This window comes from Homo sapiens, chromosome 10 (assembly GCF_000001405.40).
Source record: "Homo sapiens chromosome 10, GRCh38.p14 Primary Assembly".
Classification (NCBI taxonomy): Eukaryota; Metazoa; Chordata; class Mammalia; order Primates; family Hominidae; genus Homo; species Homo sapiens.
The window spans coordinates 29,447,455-29,467,055 of NC_000010.11; the positions used below are offsets into that span (position 1 = coordinate 29,447,455).

General features: G+C 44.7%; 1 protein-coding gene and 1 long non-coding RNA gene across 12 annotated transcripts in view; one reads left to right on the forward strand and one right to left on the reverse strand.

Annotated features, from left to right (window-relative positions):
• Nucleotides 1–19,601, forward strand: part of SVIL-AS1 (SVIL antisense RNA 1) — a 78,323-nt gene that overhangs the window by 37,921 nt on the left and 20,801 nt on the right. The window contains exon 3 of one of the 8 annotated variants that reach the window (NR_110920.1): nucleotides 10,820–11,066. The exons of the other annotated variants lie outside the window; for them this stretch is intronic. This is a non-coding gene — a long non-coding RNA (SVIL antisense RNA 1). The remainder of the gene's footprint in view (nucleotides 1–10,819; nucleotides 11,067–19,601) is intronic. 8 annotated transcript variants of the gene reach the window in all.
• Nucleotides 9,884–19,601, reverse strand: part of SVIL (supervillin) — a 279,599-nt gene continuing 269,881 nt past the window's right edge. For 2 of the 4 annotated variants that reach the window (NM_001323599.2, NM_021738.3), the window contains 5 exons: nucleotides 18,141–18,296; nucleotides 16,038–16,181; nucleotides 14,823–14,947; nucleotides 10,980–11,135; nucleotides 9,884–10,879 (listed from right to left, as the gene is read on the reverse strand). In NM_001323599.2, the coding sequence (NP_001310528.1) occupies nucleotides 10,793–10,879; nucleotides 10,980–11,135; nucleotides 14,823–14,947; nucleotides 16,038–16,181; nucleotides 18,141–18,296 (668 nt within the window). In that variant the 3' untranslated portion in view covers nucleotides 9,884–10,792. The remainder of the gene's footprint in view (nucleotides 10,880–10,979; nucleotides 11,136–14,822; nucleotides 14,948–16,037; nucleotides 16,182–18,140; nucleotides 18,297–19,601) is intronic. The other 2 variants (NM_001323600.1, NM_003174.3) reach the window with 1 other exon arrangement.

Below are 19,601 nucleotides of genomic sequence, written 5' to 3' on the forward strand. Positions count from 1 at the left end.
TCATCCCCAAGCCATCCCCCTAACCCGCCCCTGTTCGTGGAAAAATTGTGTTCCATGAAACCGGTCCCTGGTGCCAAAAAAGATGGGGACCACTGCAGTATACCTTTCATGCCAAGGTCAGGCCCAGCCAGTGACAGAGCCCAGGAGGGAGGCCTAGGACCTGGCCATTTCTGCCTATTTCCTCTAAGGATCAAGTTCTGCCCTGGGGCTCCCTGGGGGCTGGTCAGACCTTCTCAGAGCTGCCCCTCACTCAGAGGCTCTTTCCTCCCCATTCTCCCTCCTTCCCCTCTCCTTTCCTAGGGGTCAGCCTTGCAGCACCCTCCCAAAACCCTCCCTGCCTCCTGCTGCCACTGTTCTTATCTGCAAAAAGTGTTCCTCCCAATAAATGTCTTTCACGTCTAGCTCTGTCTTGACACCTGCTTCCTGAGGACCCCAAATGACACGTGCTTCCCATCTATCTGTATGATGGTTTTGTTTTTTTCACTTTTTGAAAATTACGTTTTGCCAGAAAGTCAAAGATAATCGTCTGTACCAGTTTAGCCTGCATATCTAGCATAGCATTTACACTAATATTTGCAGAATGAATGAATAAGAAAAAGCCTATTTTGCTTTCAGAGGCCACATGCACAACCAGAACCTGCAGTCTTGGTTGGGTTGGAACCCAGAGCTGAAGACAAACCAGGCCATGTTGCTGACTGTGCTTCAAAGCAACTGGAAATGCCTGGAAATCTCCTTACACTCGAGCTGCTTGGGTGTCTTGCTTTTGAATGTGTCCGTGTCTCCTACATGACCTAGTTTCTCCTCACTGAGTCCCTACCAGGGCAGAAAAGGGGCAGGCATGTGACAGACCATGAAGGTACTGCCCTAGGCAGAAGAGGTGCTGTGGCCTGCCAGGGCTGAGAGGCAGCCCCGTGCTGGGGAGGTCCTGGCACTGCGGTCCAACCCTCTGCACGCTGCCATTGAGGCCCTGCGGCTGAGTTACTCCCCAGGCCAGGTGCGGGTAGAGGAGGGCAGTCATGGCCACAGCCACAGGCTGAGTGGGAAGGGAGCTGGTTTCTTCAGGCCCTTGGAAAATCGGGGAGGAACTGGTATGCTAATTCAGAAATTCTCTCATAGCCTTGACAGGTACAAAATCTCTGAAAACCGGTATTTAAAATTATATTTCTAATCATGCCATTTTCTCTGCTTGGCAATTCAGGAAGTTGAATAGATGATTATGAATCATCCGCAAGTGTGGCTAATTAAATATTTGATCAATAGAATTTAGTGCTTTTCATCTGCAGAGAGCTTTCCTAACATTAACTAATTGAGCCAAAGGAAGGTATCACCTTCATTCTACAGATGGCAAAACTGGCAAAGGGAAGAGCTTTAAAGAAGCCACAAAATAAAACAAAAATTAAAAAGCGTGTGCATGCAGGCGGAGGGAAGCCTGGCTAAGAGGAACTGTGGTTCGCAGACTCCCCCAGCCCTTGGGCACGTTCATGTCACTGCACAATTTATCACTGCTTGCATCAGGGCAATGGGAACATTCCCAGGTCAGCCCATCGTAGAGTTCAGGTTCCTTGAACTGGAAACAAATGAGCCGGACGGAGCTGGAGTTGGCCCCTGGGGTCTTTAGGGGAAGGTCTTGGCCCAGTTCTGTGCCTAAGAGCAGAGGCTTCCTCTGCAGATCCTAGGACTGTGAAGCCGGAGGCGGCGCTGGAGTTGGAGCCTTGGCTTCTGCTGTGAGCAACAGCGCCACCTGCTGGCCATAGCCTTCCCTCAGCGCGGCTGCCCCTCGCCAGATGCAAAGGTTCCTCCTTTGTCGCTTCCGTATTTCCTTCCCTGGCCAGTCCCTGCATTTCCTTTCCTGGCTTCTCCAGCTGGAGGGAGGCAGCTGACAGGTTATATCAAACCTGATAGAAATCTGTTAGAGAGACATTCGGATATTAACAGCAAACATCTCCCCCTAACCCTATCACCCCTGGATAAAATTAGTGTTCATGAGGAAAGGTCTCATTCCCAGGCAGGTCTCGTTCCTCAGCTTCCACTGGAATGGGTCTCTTACCAGCGATGGGAGAATGAGGAAGAACTGAATGTTGGAGACCCTCCTCAGTAAAGGGCACAGCAGGTGCTTCTCGGGGCTGCCTGCGAGGATGTGATGAAATCATGCAGAGAAAGCAGCCTGTTCGGGCGGGGCCTGCGATTCCTCTCCCGCCCTTACCTAAAGCCCTCCCTGAAGCAGGAGGTGACCTTGGGCCTCAGTTTACCTCCATTATTCAACAACAATCAGGTACAGGGGAATGCGGACCACCACATCTGGGTGCCGTCCTTAAAGAGCCTTGCCCCACCCAGCTCTGTTATCTTAGCCGAGTCCCGTAACTTTCGTATGCCTTGGTCTTTTGTTTATGACATGACCAATCTATCTCCCAGGGCCATTCAAATATTTTTTAAGAGTCAAAATCTAAAAAGATTAATACTTTAAAATAGCAAGATAAGATTCCAAAACTTTCGATATTTTCAATGCAACAGAACAATTTCCTTTTCCTGAGCAGCTTATAAGATCAGAGCAGCATTTGGTAGAGCTGCCTCATGGTCACTGATGTCTACCGAGAAACGGCATTACTGTGTGGGAAACGCAAGTCCGCCATTTTCCACGTACCATATTGCTTGCTGGAGATTTCAGAAATATCTTTACATGAGGATCAGATGAGAGGAGAATGTAACAGAGTCAGCACCTCTAATGGTTTCAACATCAAGATCCAAGATAGAAGTGCTAGCGCAGGGCGCAGGATACTATGAAACCAGCCCCAGCCCTGGAAACACCCCGGGCCCCATGAGAAAGGGACGCACTAGGCCTGGGGATCCTGCGGACCAGAGGAATCAGTCGCAGGTGCTGTTGCCGGGTCATCCCCACATCTGAAGAGTCCCTTAGCCGGGTTCCCCTGGCCCGTCCATGTCCAAGTCCACTTTCCTTCTGTGCACCCTCACCTCAGCCTTGAGGCTCTACTTGCTATGCCCTTATCCTGCCTGTGCCACACGTAGGAGACTGGGTGTGCCTCTCCTTTCCCTCTCCTCCTTCCAGATCTTCTCTTTGGAGCTGATGGCTGGAGAACTGATGTCCAGTTGCAGTGAGAAATCCTGCCAGTCCTTCGAGGCTGATTCAGAGGACACCTCCTCCCGGAAGCCACCCTGATTCCTTCCCCTCCCTCCCACCTCCAGCCAGAAGTCCCTCCTTTGGACATGATTAGTTTCCTTGGGCTGTTGTGACAAAGTACCACAAACTGGGCTGCTTAAACAACAGAACCTTTATCGTCTTGCAGCTCGGGAGGGCGGAAGTCTGAGATCAAGGTGTGGGTAGGGTTGGTTTCTTCTAAGGCCTCTCTTCTGGGCTTGCAGAGGGCCGTCTTCTCCCCGTGCATCTGCACACGGTCTTCCCTCTGTGCATGCCTGCCGCCACTTCCCAATTTCCCCTTCATATAAAGACAGTAGTCAGATTGGATTAGGCCTACCCTGAAAACCTCATTTAACTTAATTACCCAAGGATCTCCAAATAAGGTCACATTCTGAGGTACTAGGGGTTAGAACTCCAATCTTTTTGGGGGAGTGGGTGAGGAGGAAAAAGTGGGGCACAATTTCACCCAGAACAGATTCTTGTTGCACTGCTATTATTATTATTATTTTTAGAGACAAGGTCTCACTGTGTGGTCCAGGCTTGAGTACAGTGGTACAATCATAGCTCACTGCAGTCTTGAATTCCTGGGCTCAAGTGATCCTCCCACCTCAGTCTCCCAAGTAGCTGGGACTACAGGTGTGCCCACTATGACTGGCTAATTTTTAAATATTTTTATAGAGATGGGGTCTCACTGTGTTGCCCAGACTGGTCTCAAACTCCTGAGCTCAAGCCATCCTCTTGCGTTGGCCTCCCAAAGTGCTGGGATTACAGTGTGAGCCACCATGTCTGACCCTGCATCATTATTTGTGCTTCTTGGTGAATTATCATTATTTTCACCTCTCCTGGAATGCAGGCCCCTTGGGGCATCAGAGCCTAGATATAAGGCGTATTTGTGTTCTGTTGACCCTTAAGCTAAGCACCCACTCAATAAATATTTGAATGAACAAGTAGTAAATATAAGTATTCATGAATGAATGCGGACCACTGCAAATAATGAGGGCTCTGGAATGTGCAACATGATACTAGAAATAGACTTCAGCAGATGCTGTGGCTGTGGTGATAACTGTATGTGAATCTGGGGAAAGACCCCATCTGACCAAAAAAAAAAAGTCTTCCCCACTGGGACCTCAAGTGTCATTGGCAAACGATGCTCCCTGCTGGATCTTTGCAGTTCCTGTTTTTAATAATGAATGGCCTCCTTCAGGAAGGGAAGCATGGAGGGTGAGCCTGGAGGATGAAAGGAAGTCATAAGGACAGGTAGGGTCCTGCTGCATCGTTGTCTTTTAGGACGGGCTCTGACACTAACCAAGTCTTGCAATCCCAAATGCACTCTTCCCCCGTTTGCTGTCTTCCATCTGCAGAAACCACTACTAAACATTGGGCTTGTTTTATTTTTCTTTGCTTCCATATGGGCTCTTGGTCAGTCGTTTCTCAATATTTCTTTTTTTTTTCGAGACAGGGTCTCACTGTCATCCAGGCTGGAATGCAGTGGTGCAATCACAGCTCACTGCAGCCTCAACCTCCTGAGCTCCAGCAGTCCTCCCAGCTCAGCCTCCTGAGTACCTGGGACTACAGGGACATGCCACCACACCTGGCTAATGGTTTAATTTTTTGTAGAAACAGGGTCTCATCATGTTGCTCAGGCTGATCTGAAACTCCTGGGCTCAATCTGTCCTCCCACTTTGGCCTCCCAGAGTGCTGGAATTGCAGGCATGAGCCACTGCGCCCAGCTAATATTTATTTACCCTTATGGAGCTAACAACTCGTGTTCCAGCCATTTCAGGATGAATGCTAAAACGGTGTTCAGATGGTAAATTTGGGCTTAATTCAGTGAGATTTAATAATAGACAATTTATGTCAATTTCCAAATAATACAAGTCAGTTCCAATATATCCCTTAAGAGACTTCCAGAACCCCATGGCGTCAGATGTGAAGAACAATCCCCACAGCTCTGCTGAGGCTGGGAGGGCGCTGGGGCTGTGGCATCCTCCGCGCTCCCTTTCTTTCTGTTAGCTTGCATTCGCTTCTGCTCCTGTGGCTTCCTTTTCAATCTCAGCTGCGCGACAGAAAAGCTCAGTAAAGGCCAGTTCAGTATTAGAAACAAGGGATACTGGTCTGTTCATCTTTCTTCTCTATTAGTCCTCAAGGATCAGCTTTAGACACTGTGAAATCAGTGGGGCATTTCCATACAGACTCCACACTCGCAGCGCATCCATGGTACTGATGGTAGGAACAGAAGCCTCTGATGCTTTCCCCTGGCAGGTCCATCTTTCTGATCTAATCCTGGGGGTGCATCCATTGTCAGAGGTCTGAAGCAGCCCAACATCCTTTCTCTGGGGAGAAGAGCAAATGCATGCAATGCAATGTATTTTCTTTTCAAAAAGAGGAAGGCTTCTTTGGGCCAAATGCCCTACCAATATAGTTAATTTTCAGTTATTTGCATTTGAATTACCTTGATATTTCTGAAAACAGAGCACTGTACTTTTTTTTTTTTTTTTTTTTAAGAGACAGGGTATTGCTCTGTTGCTGGGTGCAATGGCAGGATAGTAGCTCACTGCAGCCTCTGCTTCCTGGGTCCAAGTGATCCTTCCATCTCACCTTTCAGAGTAGCTGAAACTAAAGCCATGTCCCCACCATTATCAGCTGATTTTTAAATTTTTTGTACAGGTAGGATGTCACTATGTTGCCTAAGCTGATCTTGACCTCTTGGCCTCAAGGGATCCTCCCTCCTTGGCCTCTCAAAGCACTGGAATTAGAGGCGTGAGCCACCTCACCTGGCCTCGCACCAAACTCTTTATTGACTTCTTGGTTATTGTCGCCTGTTACTAGTCGCTACGCTAGTTCAGAAAGGCTTTGCACAGAGGTCTGTTTTGAGACTTCTGTGCCTTACCTAGATCTCAGATCAAGAAAGTCCTGTGATGGCTGAGGACGGTGGTGGGAGGTCAGTGGGATTGGGGCTCAGGACCATCGCTGATTTAGGTCTTCACACTGGGCCTTCTGTGATCTCAGAACATCACACACCCATAAATAAACCTCCAAGGACCAGTGTCTGCAACTTATTGCTAACAAAAAATTTAAGATGCAGAACAAAAACAGTTTTTGTTTATATATTTTTAATATAGGGTCTTGCTCCGTCACCCAGGCTGGAGTGTAGTGGTGCAATCATGGCTCACTGCAGCCTCTACCTCCTGGGCTCCAGTAATCCTCCTGCCTCAGCCTCCCAAGTAGCCGAAACTACAGGGATGTGCCAGTTTTTTTCCTTTTTTAATGTGAGCATACACATCTATGCTAGTAGATGTAAAGAAAAATCCAGAAGAATATAAATCAGATTATTAAAGTACTTGTATTTGGTTAGTGGTATTATTTATGATTTTTGATTCCTAGATTATATATCTTTGTAGTGATTGCATTTTTTACGTAGATCAGGTGTTACTATTTTTTAAACTGCTTTTTTGTGATATTTTACATATATATATAAAATGTGTTTGTGTATGTATGTATATAATAATATATGCCATAAAATACGCTCATGTAAGTGAACAATAATTTCTTTAATTATTATTTTTTTATTTTTTAGAGACAAGGTCTCACTTTGTCACCAGGTTGGAGTGCAGTAGTATGATCACAACTCACTGCAGACTCGAACTCCTGGGCTCAAGGGATCCTCCCTCCTCAGCCTCCCAAGTGGCTGGGACTACAAGCACGCACCAACACACCTGGCTGATTTAAAAATTTTTGTACAAATGGGATCTCACTATGTTGCCTATGCTGGTCTTGAACACCTAGGCCCAACGATCCTCCAGCCTCGCCTTCTAAAGTGTTGGGATTCCAAGAGTGAGCCATGGTGTCTGGCCTCAAAAATCTTTAATACCTTTATAGAGTTGTGCAATCATCACCACAATCCAGTTTTGAGACATTTCCATTACTCCAAAAAGATCATTCATGCCATTTGCAGTTAACCACCACTCCCATCTCCAACCTCAGCTACTGTTGATCTTGCTGTTTGCACAGATTTGCCTTTATGGGAAGTTTCATATAAAAAGAATCAAACAATATGTGGCCTTTTGCATCTGGCTTCTTTCACTTAATGCTTTTGAGGCGTATGCATGTTGTAGTGAGTATCAGGTGTACGTCATGTATACGCAGGAATATCTGTCCCTTTGCTGTCGGGGAGGACGCCATCGCATGGAGGTCCTGCATTTTGTTTTTCTGTTTCTCAGTTGACGGTCATGTGGATTGTTTACAGGTCTGGGCTATTATGAATAATGCCACTATGAACATCTGTGTCCAGGTTTCTGAGTGGACACACACGGCTAATTTTATAATAAAAAAAACAAAACCAAAGGACCAAAATGAATTCTGGAACTGTTTCTGGAATACGTTTCCTTTTACCAAAATGGGAATTCTAATAGCAGGGCAGGAAATGTAAAGTAGGAGAGAAAGAAGTGGGCTCACAGCAGCCTTTCCCCTCCTCGGATTTGGGAACAAAGAGGCAGGATTGTCCCACTCTAGAAGTGGCTCATATTCGCACAGTTCATCCAAAGCTACAGAACACGCTCAACATCCCATCTGCCCCGCGGCACCTCTGATATCGATCTCAATCCAAACACCCACCCCTCTCTTGAGTCTCTTAGTTCAAGGACAGCAAATTCAGGACATCGCACTTCCCTGCCCCTGATGCATTTAGTGAGAGCGGGGGTTTGAGTTTGGATGACTGTGGAGAAAAGCCCCAAGCACCAGTGTCAATTCCTGGGCTGAGACTTTAAGGTTTAGCAATTCAAGTGTTTCAGCTAGGTCCCTTCCCAGTGTACAAAGGTCAAAGTTTGCAGTTATGGAAGGAAAAGGATCAGAAAAAACCATGGAAAATAGGATCTGGTTCTATAAGCAGGAAAGAGATGCAGGAAACAATTTAGAGGAAAAGAGGCAAAAAGTATACTGGCTCTCCAAGCTGGGGTGTCTTATTCACCAAGAAGTGGCGAGAAGCAGACAGACAGCACGTTTTGTCGGGGGACAGTGGTTTTTGTTTTTTTGTGTTTTTTTTGAGACAGAGTCTCACTGTATTGCCCAGGCTGGAGTGTAGTGGTGCAATCTCGGCTCACTGCAACATCGGCCTCCCAGGCTCAAGCGATTCTCATGCCTCAGCCTCCCAAGTAGCTGGGATTACAGGTGTGCGCCACCACACCCAGCTAATTTTTGTATTTTTAGTAGAGACAGGGTTTTGCCATGTTGGTCAGGCTGGTCTCAAACTCCTGACCTCAAGTGATCCACCTGCCTTGGCCTCCCAAAGTGCTGGGATTACAGGCATGAGCCACCGCACCTGGTTGCCAATGTTTAATACAAGTGGATAGACACAGTTTTAAAGGACTTTGGGAAAATCTGGTGTTAATGAATATTAATGAGGACATCTGTCTTATTTATTCATTACAGCGGCTCTCCACTGGTAGTTCCTGTAGCAACTCAAGCTCCTTCCTGGGTATCTAAAGATTCAGGTGATATCTGGAACCTGCTGCAGAGGTTGCAATCCTGCCTCTTTCTGACCCTCAGGTTGCCCTAGTGACTCTAGGAACCTTTCTCCATACCTCTTGCGTGTTATCTATGGAACATGGACTTTGAACCTCTCTTCTTTTTCGTCTCCTTGCTTTGATTTAATCCATCATTTCTAGGTGCATGACAACACTCCCTAACTTAACCCCCCTGCTTTCCCATTTTAACTACCATCACAATAATCTTAATACTGGCAGGTATCTAGCACTTGGCGATTTTCAAAGAGCTTCCACTAGTTCCTTGCTCGGAATCTTGTGATGCAGGCAGGATAGCTAGGAGTGTCTCCTTTTAAAGGAAATCAAGGTAGAAAAGTTCAGTGATGACCCAATATCATAAAAATCATAAAATGGTGAGACCAGGAGCAGGTTATAGGTTTCTACCCTGGTGCGGTCCCAGGATGGGGCCTGTAAGTCCTGAAGTTTCAGGCAAATGTGCTGTGACTGGATGTGTTAAATTAGACTAACAGGGAGTGGGGAAGGGCTATGACAATTCAGAGTAGGTCTGTAGAATATGTTCACAAAACCATGGATTTAAGAACATGGGAGCTTGTGAGGAGTTTTCTAACTCATTTTTTAAGTTTTCTAGATGTCTTATCCATATAATTTTTTTTTTTTTGAAATGGAGTCCCACTCTTGTCACCCAGGCTGTAGTGCAATGGCGCGATCTTGGCTCACTGCAACCTCCGCCTCCCAGTTTCAAATGATTCTCCTTCTTCAGCCTCTTGAGTAGCTGGGATTACAGGCATGTGCCACCATGCCTAATTTTTGTATTTTTAGTAGAGACTGGGTTTCAACATGTTGGCCAGGCTGCTGTTGAACTCCTGGTCTCAGGTGATCCGCCTGCCTCAGCCTCCCAGAGTGCCGGGATTACAGGTGTGGGCCACCTCGCCTGGCCCATACAATTTTTTAAAGGGCATTGAGATCCTAAAATTGAAATTGTAGATAGATATAGCTGTGGGATAAAGAACTTCTGCTGAATGATGATTTGCAAAAGTATGTCTTCATTATAGTACTGAGTACTAATTTTATGGGGCAAATAACTCTGTATTTAATCTTATGACCTTGTATAAAATCTTGCCCTAAACTAAATTCAAATGTATAGTCATTTATACTTAATTACAAAATTTGGTGCTATGTTAATATTTACCAAAAAAAAAAAAAATTCCAGAAAGGAACATGCTTGGAATTCAATGTGAACCAGTTAATTGTTGTGTTTATTCTGATACTTTTATTTGGGAGTCCTATATCACAAAATGACATGTGTACTGTTTACAACCGGTATTAGAAATTGAGATGTTTTTATTTTGACTATTTGAGAGTAAAATTGTAGATAATGTTCCAAACCATCATCAAAAATGCAGAGCAAACTTTTCTGTATATAAACTGTACATAAAAACAAGGCACTATACATTTTTGGGGAGATATTAAGGTAGAAAGGTTGATTCGCATAGATTCTCCAGAGTCCATGCCATTAAGTACAAATTCTTTGTTCATTTTAGCACCGGAAGCAGTACTCAGAACAAGTCATACCTAATGCTGCAGGAAACATTTCCAAACGTGTATGAAGATACATATTGGTGGCAGAGCTAATTCAACAGAAGCAACTCCATCTACCTTTTCATGTTATTTTGACACCAAAACAAATCTTGAAAGTGAATGAATACATATTGCTTTGTTAAATACATATTTGACTTATATGGTGTTTATATAAATATATATATATTTTAGAATCCACAAACTATCAAAATAACACTTTATAAAGAGAACTGCTTCAAAAAAAAAAAAAAAAGGCATTGCCTAGCTGGAACAAGAAGGCAGTGCTATCTATAGCAGCTGCGGCTTAAGTGCACATAACAGATACTTTTATTAATTCTGATAACCTCCTGAATGGTGGAAAGAAGTTTCCAAACAGTTCCCTTGAACATTTACAAAATACACAACTCCGGGACAAGCAGTATCTTTAACAATGTCAGGTTCTGAAAACTCTGATTGAAAAATACTTTGTGAAAAACACCAGTCCAAAAATATATATCCATTTCCCTGGTGCAGTGGTGTTGTTGGACGTGACCGTGAGGCTCCTCTGGCGTCTCCCCACTCAGAACAGGCCTTTTGCTTTCTTCAGGTTCACCTGCTTCCAGGCGGGCAGGGCGTTGTATTCATCCCTCGTCATGTCTAGTGCAAACTGGAAACATTGGGAGAAGCGCCCCGCGGCTCAGTGAAAGGAGCCGGGCGTGCGTGTGTTGTTTTACTCCCATCCCCACCCCACCGGAAGAACCGCTTACCTCGAAGTCTTCGTCGGTGAGATAGATCTCAAGCTTCAGAGGATCGACCCCCTCCGGGAGTGGCCTGGCCAGGAGGTCGGCCAGCGGGTAAATGGTTTTACAGAGCTTGGCTAAGACGTCTTCCACGAGGGTGATCTGATTGGAAACTTCCGTGTCCTAGAGAAGAGGAGGGGGCAGAGAGGAGAGCTCGTGTCCTACATTTGAACTTGTTTTATTAAGTGCTTACAGACACACAGCCCTGTGCCACCTGCATACTGCCTGAGGATGCATAGTTCCATATCACTGAGGAGGAAATGGCTCTGAAAGAAAAGGGATCGCCCAAAGCCCTGCAGTTGTCTGGACTTTTAATTTTTAAAATTTTTAAATTTTAAATTAAAAAATGGTATTTTTTGAGACAAGGTCTCACTCTGCTACTCAGGCTGGAGTGCAGTGGTGCAATCATAGCTCACTGCAGCCTCCAGCTCCTGGGCTCAAGTGATCCTCCTGCCTCAGCCTCCTGAGTAACTGGGACTATGAGTATGCATCACCAGGCCTGGCTAATTTATTTTTCCTTTTCCATTTTTTTTTTTTTTTTTGTAGAGACTGGGTCTTGCTATACTGCTTAGGCTGGTCTCAAACTTCTGGCCTCAAGCGATCCTCCTGCTGGGATTACAGGTGTGAACCACCACACTTGACCCCAAATTTTGTTATTTTTTAGAGACAGTGTCTCACTGTAACCCAGGCTGGAGGGCAGTGGCTCAATCATAGCTCTCTGCAGCCTTAAACTCCTGGACTCAAGCAGTCCTCCCACCTCAAGCCTCCTGAGTAGCTGGCACTATTGGCATGTGCCACCACGCGCACCTAATAATTTAAAAAATTTTTTTGTAGAGATGATGGAGTCTTGTTTCTCTGACTTATAGATCTTTTCTCACCTTGTCACAGAGTTTTAAACAAACCCTGTCTCAGAACTGTCTCTGGAAAAATGTTTAGGGACTGTCCCATGAGTGAATTATGGACTAAGATTAGTAGATTTGAAGTCTAAACACCAGAAGCCTCCAAATAATGGAATTTGTTTAAAAATAAATATTAAAAAATAACCTGAAAAGAAATCACACCCCCCTTCCCTCCCCTGGCCCCATTTCTTAATCTGCAATAGAAAAAGAAGGTCAGAAAATGCACCTAGAATATTCTGGAGCAGAATCAATTTTTTTGTTTTTAAAACCACTGTGTGAATATGAACAAACTATTCTGGGTAAATTCTCTTCCTCCATTAAACTTGGGACCCCAGATTGGCTGCTCTCCTTTTGGGTGGGTGGATGGTGGGAATGCATGACTAAGAGCTGTTGCTCATATTAGAAATACATGGAACAGACTGGTGGTCAAGAGGCAGGTTTTGGGCTGGGTGCAGTGACTTGTGCCTGTAATCTCAACACTGTAGGAGGCTGAGGTGGGAAGAGTCCTTGAATCCAGGAGTTGGAGACCAGCTTGGGCAATATGATGAGACCCTGTCTCTATAAAGAATACAAAAATAGGCTAGGCATGGAAGTGTGCACCTGTAGTCCTACCTACTTGGGGTGGCTGAGGTGGTAGGGTCGTTTGAGCCCAGGGGTTCAAGGTTTGTGTGAGCCATGATTGAGTCACCACACTGCAGCCTGGGTGACAAAGCAAGATCCTTTCTCTAAAAAAAGAAGAGGCGAATTTTGGATGATCTTGCCTGCGTCTGAGTACTGACTCCTCCACTCACTGAAAGTCACTTTGGCCAAGTGACTTCGTGTTTTTGTGTCTCTGCTCCCACACCAGTAAAATGGGAATAATAATAAGATATCTTGATGGACTGTTGTGATAAATGAGAAAATCAGTGTAAAGTGCTTGGAGATGTGCCTAGTGCAGAGTGGGCACTTGCTGAATGTTAATTATTTGTATAACTTGCTGGTGTGGGAAGCCTGACTCTTCTCCGGCTGGAATCCCACAGGCCTGCACAACAGTAAATGGCCCCGCTGCTAACCCCCAAGATCTATAGTGAATACACAGGGAGGATGGTGAGTTATATCCTTCTGAAAGTGGCTCAACTGTGCCACAGAACTGATGTTTATGATTTCTTTGGAATAAACGTCGAAATTAACTCTCCTAGTCTTGAAATTCGAGAAAGTTATATTTGTCTTATCTGAGTTCCTTTCTCAGGAAACCAACCATCAGGCATCTCCAATAGTATCAAAAAGCCAGCAGTGGCTCATGCTTGTAATCCCAGCACTTTGAGAGGCTGAGGTGGGCAGATGGCTTGAGCTCAGGAGTTCAAGACCAGACTGAGAGACATGGCAAAACCTCATTGAAAATACAAAACAAATTAGCCAGGCATTATGGTGTGTGCTTGTAGTCCCAGCTACCTGGGAGGCTGATGTGGGAGGATTGTCTGAGCCTGGAGCTGGAGGCTGCAGTGAGCTGTGATTACACCACTGCACTCCAGCCTGGGCAACAGAGCAAGACCCTGTCTCAAAAAACAAAAACAAAACCTGAAGCTTACCAGACCCCTTACCCACCATGATGCCTAACCAACCCCCCGCTTCCTGTTGACCAGCTCCTCTTCCTCACCCCTCCCTAATTCCTGTTTCCCACACATGGTTACATTTCTTCCCTGCTATAAAAATCCCTAATTTTAGTAGGCCAGAGACACAGATTTGAGACTTATGTCCTGTTCCCCTTGGCTGTAGCACCCAAATAAACTTTCTTCCTTGGCTATGCTTGTCTCAGTGATTGGCTTTCTTCTGTGTAGTGAGCAATAAGCCCTGGACTGAACCCCTGGCAATTTGGTAACTCCTGAACTTAGACTGCATGCAGCAGCCATAGAGCTCGTAATCCCTAGAGCCTTCTGGTTTCACGAAACCACAGTTGCAGTGAACAGAAACATCTCGTTCCGGCTGCGGCAGACACCAAGCTGAAGTCAGCCCCTTCCCTGTGTACATCAAGTCCATTTGGCTCCAGGGAGACAGGTTAGGGTGAGCAGTGATGTCTGTACTACCCAACAGGCCCTCTCCATTGCTAAGCAGAAGTAGATTCTGTTTGTTTAAAATTACTCGAATTTCCTATAAAATACACTTGGGTCGTTTCCCCAAGCAAAGCAGCTCTCACATGGTAAAAAAAAATCAAAATGGTAAAAAACCTATCTCTCACCAAATCAAAACAAATCCTTGGATTTGCTATTCCTAGCAATGTTAATAGCTCATATATAAGAAATTCAACATAGCTATAATAAAATTCTTTCCTGTGTGGTTGGAAAAGAAAACATTCTAGATTATAATATATTTTGGTGGATAGAAGTTATGATAAATGCCTCATGCAGAAATACCAGGTGGTCTCATAAAAGACAATATTAATGAGATGTTGAGTGATCCCTTATCATAAGGGAGTCGCAGCACCTCCATTCATTCAGTTTTCTGAACATACTAATTCATCAGATTTCGTTTGTGTCTCCTCTACACAAGGTTAACATCTGAAACATGAGGGTTTGGTTGTGCGTCACATGGACACTGAGAGACAAGCAATGCCAAGCAACAGGTTCTTAGCAAACAGAATGAAGAGTTCGCAGCTTTTATGTACATATATAGTCCTCAACATGATTCAACTCACCTTTGCTTTTAAGTTTTTAAAATTTGGGTATCGTGTAGAAAATTACTAAAATAGTTAATTGATTTTCCATTAGACTTCTCTTCTTCCTAAGCAAATTCTATGTAGGTTTGTTAAGATGTTGCAAAAGGAAAAATATTTTCCCACTCTGAAAGTGCAATTGGATGCTCTCCCCAAAGTAAAGTTAACCCACAATCCAAAAGGCGCAGGAGCCACCTTCATAGGGCAGGAAAGCGTGCTCACCATCTCTGTGATCTCAGCGATGTCCTCTCTGTGCTCCCAGCTGGGAAACATATTGGTGAATGTCAGGGGCTCCAGACCAGCGTGGATAAGGTAAGACTTGGGGGCTGGTTTCTTGAGATTTTTTCCTGTAGTTACACAGATTGCAATGTCAGTAGACCCCAGGGAGACCCTGTCTTTCTCTGATTTCCCTTGAAATCTTTTCTTCTTTGCCAGAACTCATGACTTCATGCTTAAAATGCAAGTTACCAGTAGTTCATAACAACACATGGATAATGTTTATATAAGATGTTTGTTAGTTTCATGCCTGTGACTACCATAGTGACCTATAATCAACCTGAGTCTATACTTCTTGAACCTAACAAAACGCTGTGTATTCCTGGAAGGGAGAGAGAGGCTCTGTCTGCAGCTTCTGGGTGGAGCATTTTCTTCCTCCTGAATTCACCTGTAGAGTCATCCGTCTCATTTCCTAGCACAGGATTAACTCCCATAATGACTGACGGCGAACGACAGCATCTTATACATCCACATTCACTATAACATTGAGTGGAAGGTTTCATATGTTATTTATTGCTAAAGAGTTTTTCAGGAAGAGAATCCATTGCACATACTCAGTGACATTAAACTAGTTGTGTCAATGAAACCATAAAAATTAAATAAGATTAATTACTGGCATTTTCATTTTATATAAAAGACTAGAAATTTCATGTGTATAGTAAAGAACCATGAACTTACTATGGGTATTTCTCTTTGGATATAATACTAAAAATAATAATGAATAATAAAAAGGTTGGCAATGGCCGTTCACTGTTTGGGGGAGACCTCCATTCTCCAACAGCGTGGTAGTGCTTGCAGATAATGTACAGGGCAGAGGCCAACTTGTCTCTCAGCATGATCAACCCCGAGTACAGCGGGGTTTTAATCTGCCTGGGGCATTCCACAATACAGCCTTTATCCTTGAGGGTAACAAGTTAGCCTCATAATATCAGAGAGAAAAACTAGTTCTTCTTCATGCTGGCAGCTGAGAATGCGCTAATCTAAAACTTAATACATCTCAAAAAGTTAAAGGGGAAAAAATTGGTTTCATCACCACCTGCCAGGCTTTATGGATGGATGCTGGCTGACATGCACAGAAGGGGAAGGGGGTCTCCTGGCTGCGCATGCCTGAGGGGCTTCCCCATCTGTTCCGTGCTGCAGGCATGTTAGAGGGAGCCTCACCTTTGCAGTACTGGAGCACAGTCTCCATCGCACTCTTCCGGTCGGAGGCCCAGCGGATGCGGGCGGAACCAGTGATCTTGTTCTCGATGGGCCACCAGCCTTGCCAGAGGTACACCTCGTGGTGATTGTCAACAAGGAAAAGTGCTGTGAGGGCAGGGACAGGGCCAGACCATCAGGAGCTCCTTCACGGACACTTCTAGCTCACTCCTCCCCCAACCTAGTGGATGTTGTCCCTCTTGACTGCAGTGTCACAGGGGGAAACCCCCTTGGCCATCAAACCAGGGGCAAAGGGGCAAACAGAGAAACCCAGGATACCCCAGCCCTTTGACAGTTCAACGGGGAGAAGCCTGTAGGCAGAGAGAAGTGGTGTCAAGGAGTTGGTCTTTTTCATTCCTCGTCCTCCAGGTCCTCCTCCCTTTGCCCCAGCTCAAGGCCCTGGCCCTTCTGGATACTGGCAGGGCTGTGCTAAGAGTGGAAGGGATAATGCATGTGCCACTCAAGGGGCTGTTAGCACCGCATATCTCCAAAGAGCACAATCAACACTGGAGCGCACATCTCACTGCAGACAGGTCAGTGGCGTTCCTGCCCTGCACGCGATTGCTTAGCAGTGAGGTGAGCTCATGGCTCTCTTACAGAGAAATGGGCCTTAAAAAGCAAAACTGCCACCGGGAGTGGTGGCTCATGCCTGTAATCCCAGTGCTTTGGGAGGCTGAGGAGGAAGGACTGCTTGAGCCCGGAGGTTGAAGACCAGCCTGGGCCACATGATGAGACCCTATCTCTACAAAAAGAAAAAAAAAATTAGCGAGGCATGGTGCTGCATGCATGTAGTCTCCACTACTCAGGAAGCTAAGGAGAGAGGATCGCTTGAGCCCAAGAGTTAGAGGCTGCAGTGAGCCATGACTGCGCCACTGCACTCCAGCCTGGATGACAGAGTAAGACCCTGTCTCTAAAAAATAAAATAAAAGGAAATAAAAATCAAAACTGTTCTACTGCCTTTTCCTCCTACCTTTTTCTCCTCCTCAAATTGTCAGTCTGACTCTTACTCCAGGTGGCAAAATGCCTCTCACTCTTGCTAGTCGGCTCACTGTAAGTCCTTTCCTGACATGCATTTCAGGATTCTGTGAAAACCACACTTTAAAAGCCCAGTGGAGGTTGATAACCCGCCCTGAGCCCCAGGATGAAGGGCGTGGGCACACCCTCTCTTACTGGTGGCTGATTTTCCAAGCATGACATGTGCACTGGGCAAACTTTCAGTGCTGCCCTGAGATCCCGGTGCAAGATGAGGTCCCTGGCTGCAGCTCCAGGCTCTTGTAATGTGAGAAGCAACAAACACAAACTGAGAGGCAGCTGACCTTGGCTTCATTGGAGGGTGGGTGGGAGGGGTTGTCAAGCCCAGTCTCTTGTTACTTTCCCAACCAGAATGAGGGCACAGAGCCCTGACCTTGGGATCAGAAGACCTGGGCTGGAGTCTTGGCTCTGCTGTGGAGACTTGGTATGGCAGACCCTGTTCCCTGGCTAACTTAGCCAATACCCCAACATCCTTCTCCTCTGCCATTTGCTTCCCCAGGCTCCCTTGCAGCTGGGGCTGGCCATGTGACAGGCTCCGGCCAATGGGATGTAAGCAGAAGTCTGCTGGGGGCTTCTGGGAAAACACGTGCTTTATCTGATTAAAGAGAGAGAGTGGCTATTAGGTGGGCTTTTTTCCTTCCCCTTTCTTTCTCTTTCTATCTTGAATGCAAACATAATGGCTGGAGCAATGGCAGTCGACGGGTGACCATGCAGCAACAAGACTGAGAGGAAGGCTGGGAAAAGAGCGGAGACGCCAGGCCTGCCGCTGTGGTGCTCAACCTGTTCTTAGCTGACGTCTTTGGGTGGGTTAAGTGACTTGAGTCTCGTTCCTTATGCTATAAAGTGTGGCTGATTTCACTCTCCTTCCTTTTGGTGTAGGGGTGAGGATGAAAAGAGTGTAAGCACATGTTCTGGGTGCTCTGGGAATGTACTTGGCAAACAGAAGCTGCTTAATAAATACCAACGTAAAATCAAAAGGCTTTCTGGAAGATGTGCCTTCTACTGCTCAGCATAGCTGCCCCCTGCAGGCCTTACCTGGCTGGGGCGCGCTGTACAGATCTTCCTGCAGGAAGGGCATGGAACTGACCACAGAGGGGGCTCGGGCAGGGTACACAAACTCTGTGGCTGCAAAATCCCCAGAGGAGCTGCTGAGGATGAACAGGCGGGGCGCGAAGTTAAAACTTCCAGGATCTTTGAAAGAAAAGAGAACAAAGCTGAAGATATCATGTGCATCAAAGTAAATTCCAGATGAAGAATGAATGTAAAATATGAAATAATTCAAAGCACTGTGGAAACACAGGTAGGATTTATCTGAGCTTCAAGGTGGAGAAAGCCTTTTCAAGTGCAATAGTAAAAGAACCAATCAAAAGGGAAAATAATGCATTAATTATATAAAAATGAAAAACAATGCAAAATTAAAAAGAAAAGAAAAACCAAGTAACAAATGGGAAATATTTGTAATACAGCAACTAGTTAATATCCTTAATACATGAAGGGACATACATAAGGAAAAAATAAATATCAATAAAATGTGCAAAAGACACAAATAGAACACTCACCAAAGTAGAAATTAAAATGGCTAAAAAATATATATAGATACTGTGTATATATGCATATCTATACACAGATATATGTATGTGTATATCACATACACATATGTAACATAAATATGCATATATGTTATATAACATAAATATACATATATTGTATTTTATATACATTATACATGTATATAAATATACATCTATATGTACTTCTAAGTAAAACAAAACAATGCTTAGCTATCTGTCTCCTTTCATCAATTTGGCAAAGAGGAAAAAATAATATGCTGAATTTATGATTGTGCTGAGAAATGAACGCTTCTGTGTATTGCAGGTGAGAATGAAACTTGGCCCGAGCTGATACATGCTATCAGATTTTATGACAAGCACAGCGGTTCCACATCTAGGAATTCCTCTCAATTAGGAATGAATGTATAGGATTATTTTAAAAAGTATTCAAACTGCATTATTGTATAAGGGAGAAAAATCAGAAATAAGAAACAACTCAACTCCCCAGCTGTCAGAGACTGTCAGGTAGAGAGTGGCATATATTCACAGTATAACAGAATATCTCACAGCCATTAGAAATCTAAATTTTAATAACTTGGGAAATTATTCATTATAAAGGAAAAAAGGTTACAAAACAGTAGATCCACATATTATTTTTTAAAATAGATATTATATATAGCATAGAGAAATGTGAATTCTGTTCTGAGAAATGTGGTTATAAGTGACTTCATTTCTTTTTTTAACTTCTCCATAATTTCAAACGTTTTCTAGGCATTATGTTTAAAAAGCTATATAAAAGTTTATAAACATTGAGGGGCAGAGTATTATGGAGCAGTTATGAGGATACTCCATTGCTGCCCAGCCTTGGGCAAGTTGATTAACTTCTGTATGCCTCAGTTTCCTCATCTGTAAAAATGGCAGAGTGTTGGGTTGTACTAACGGAGTT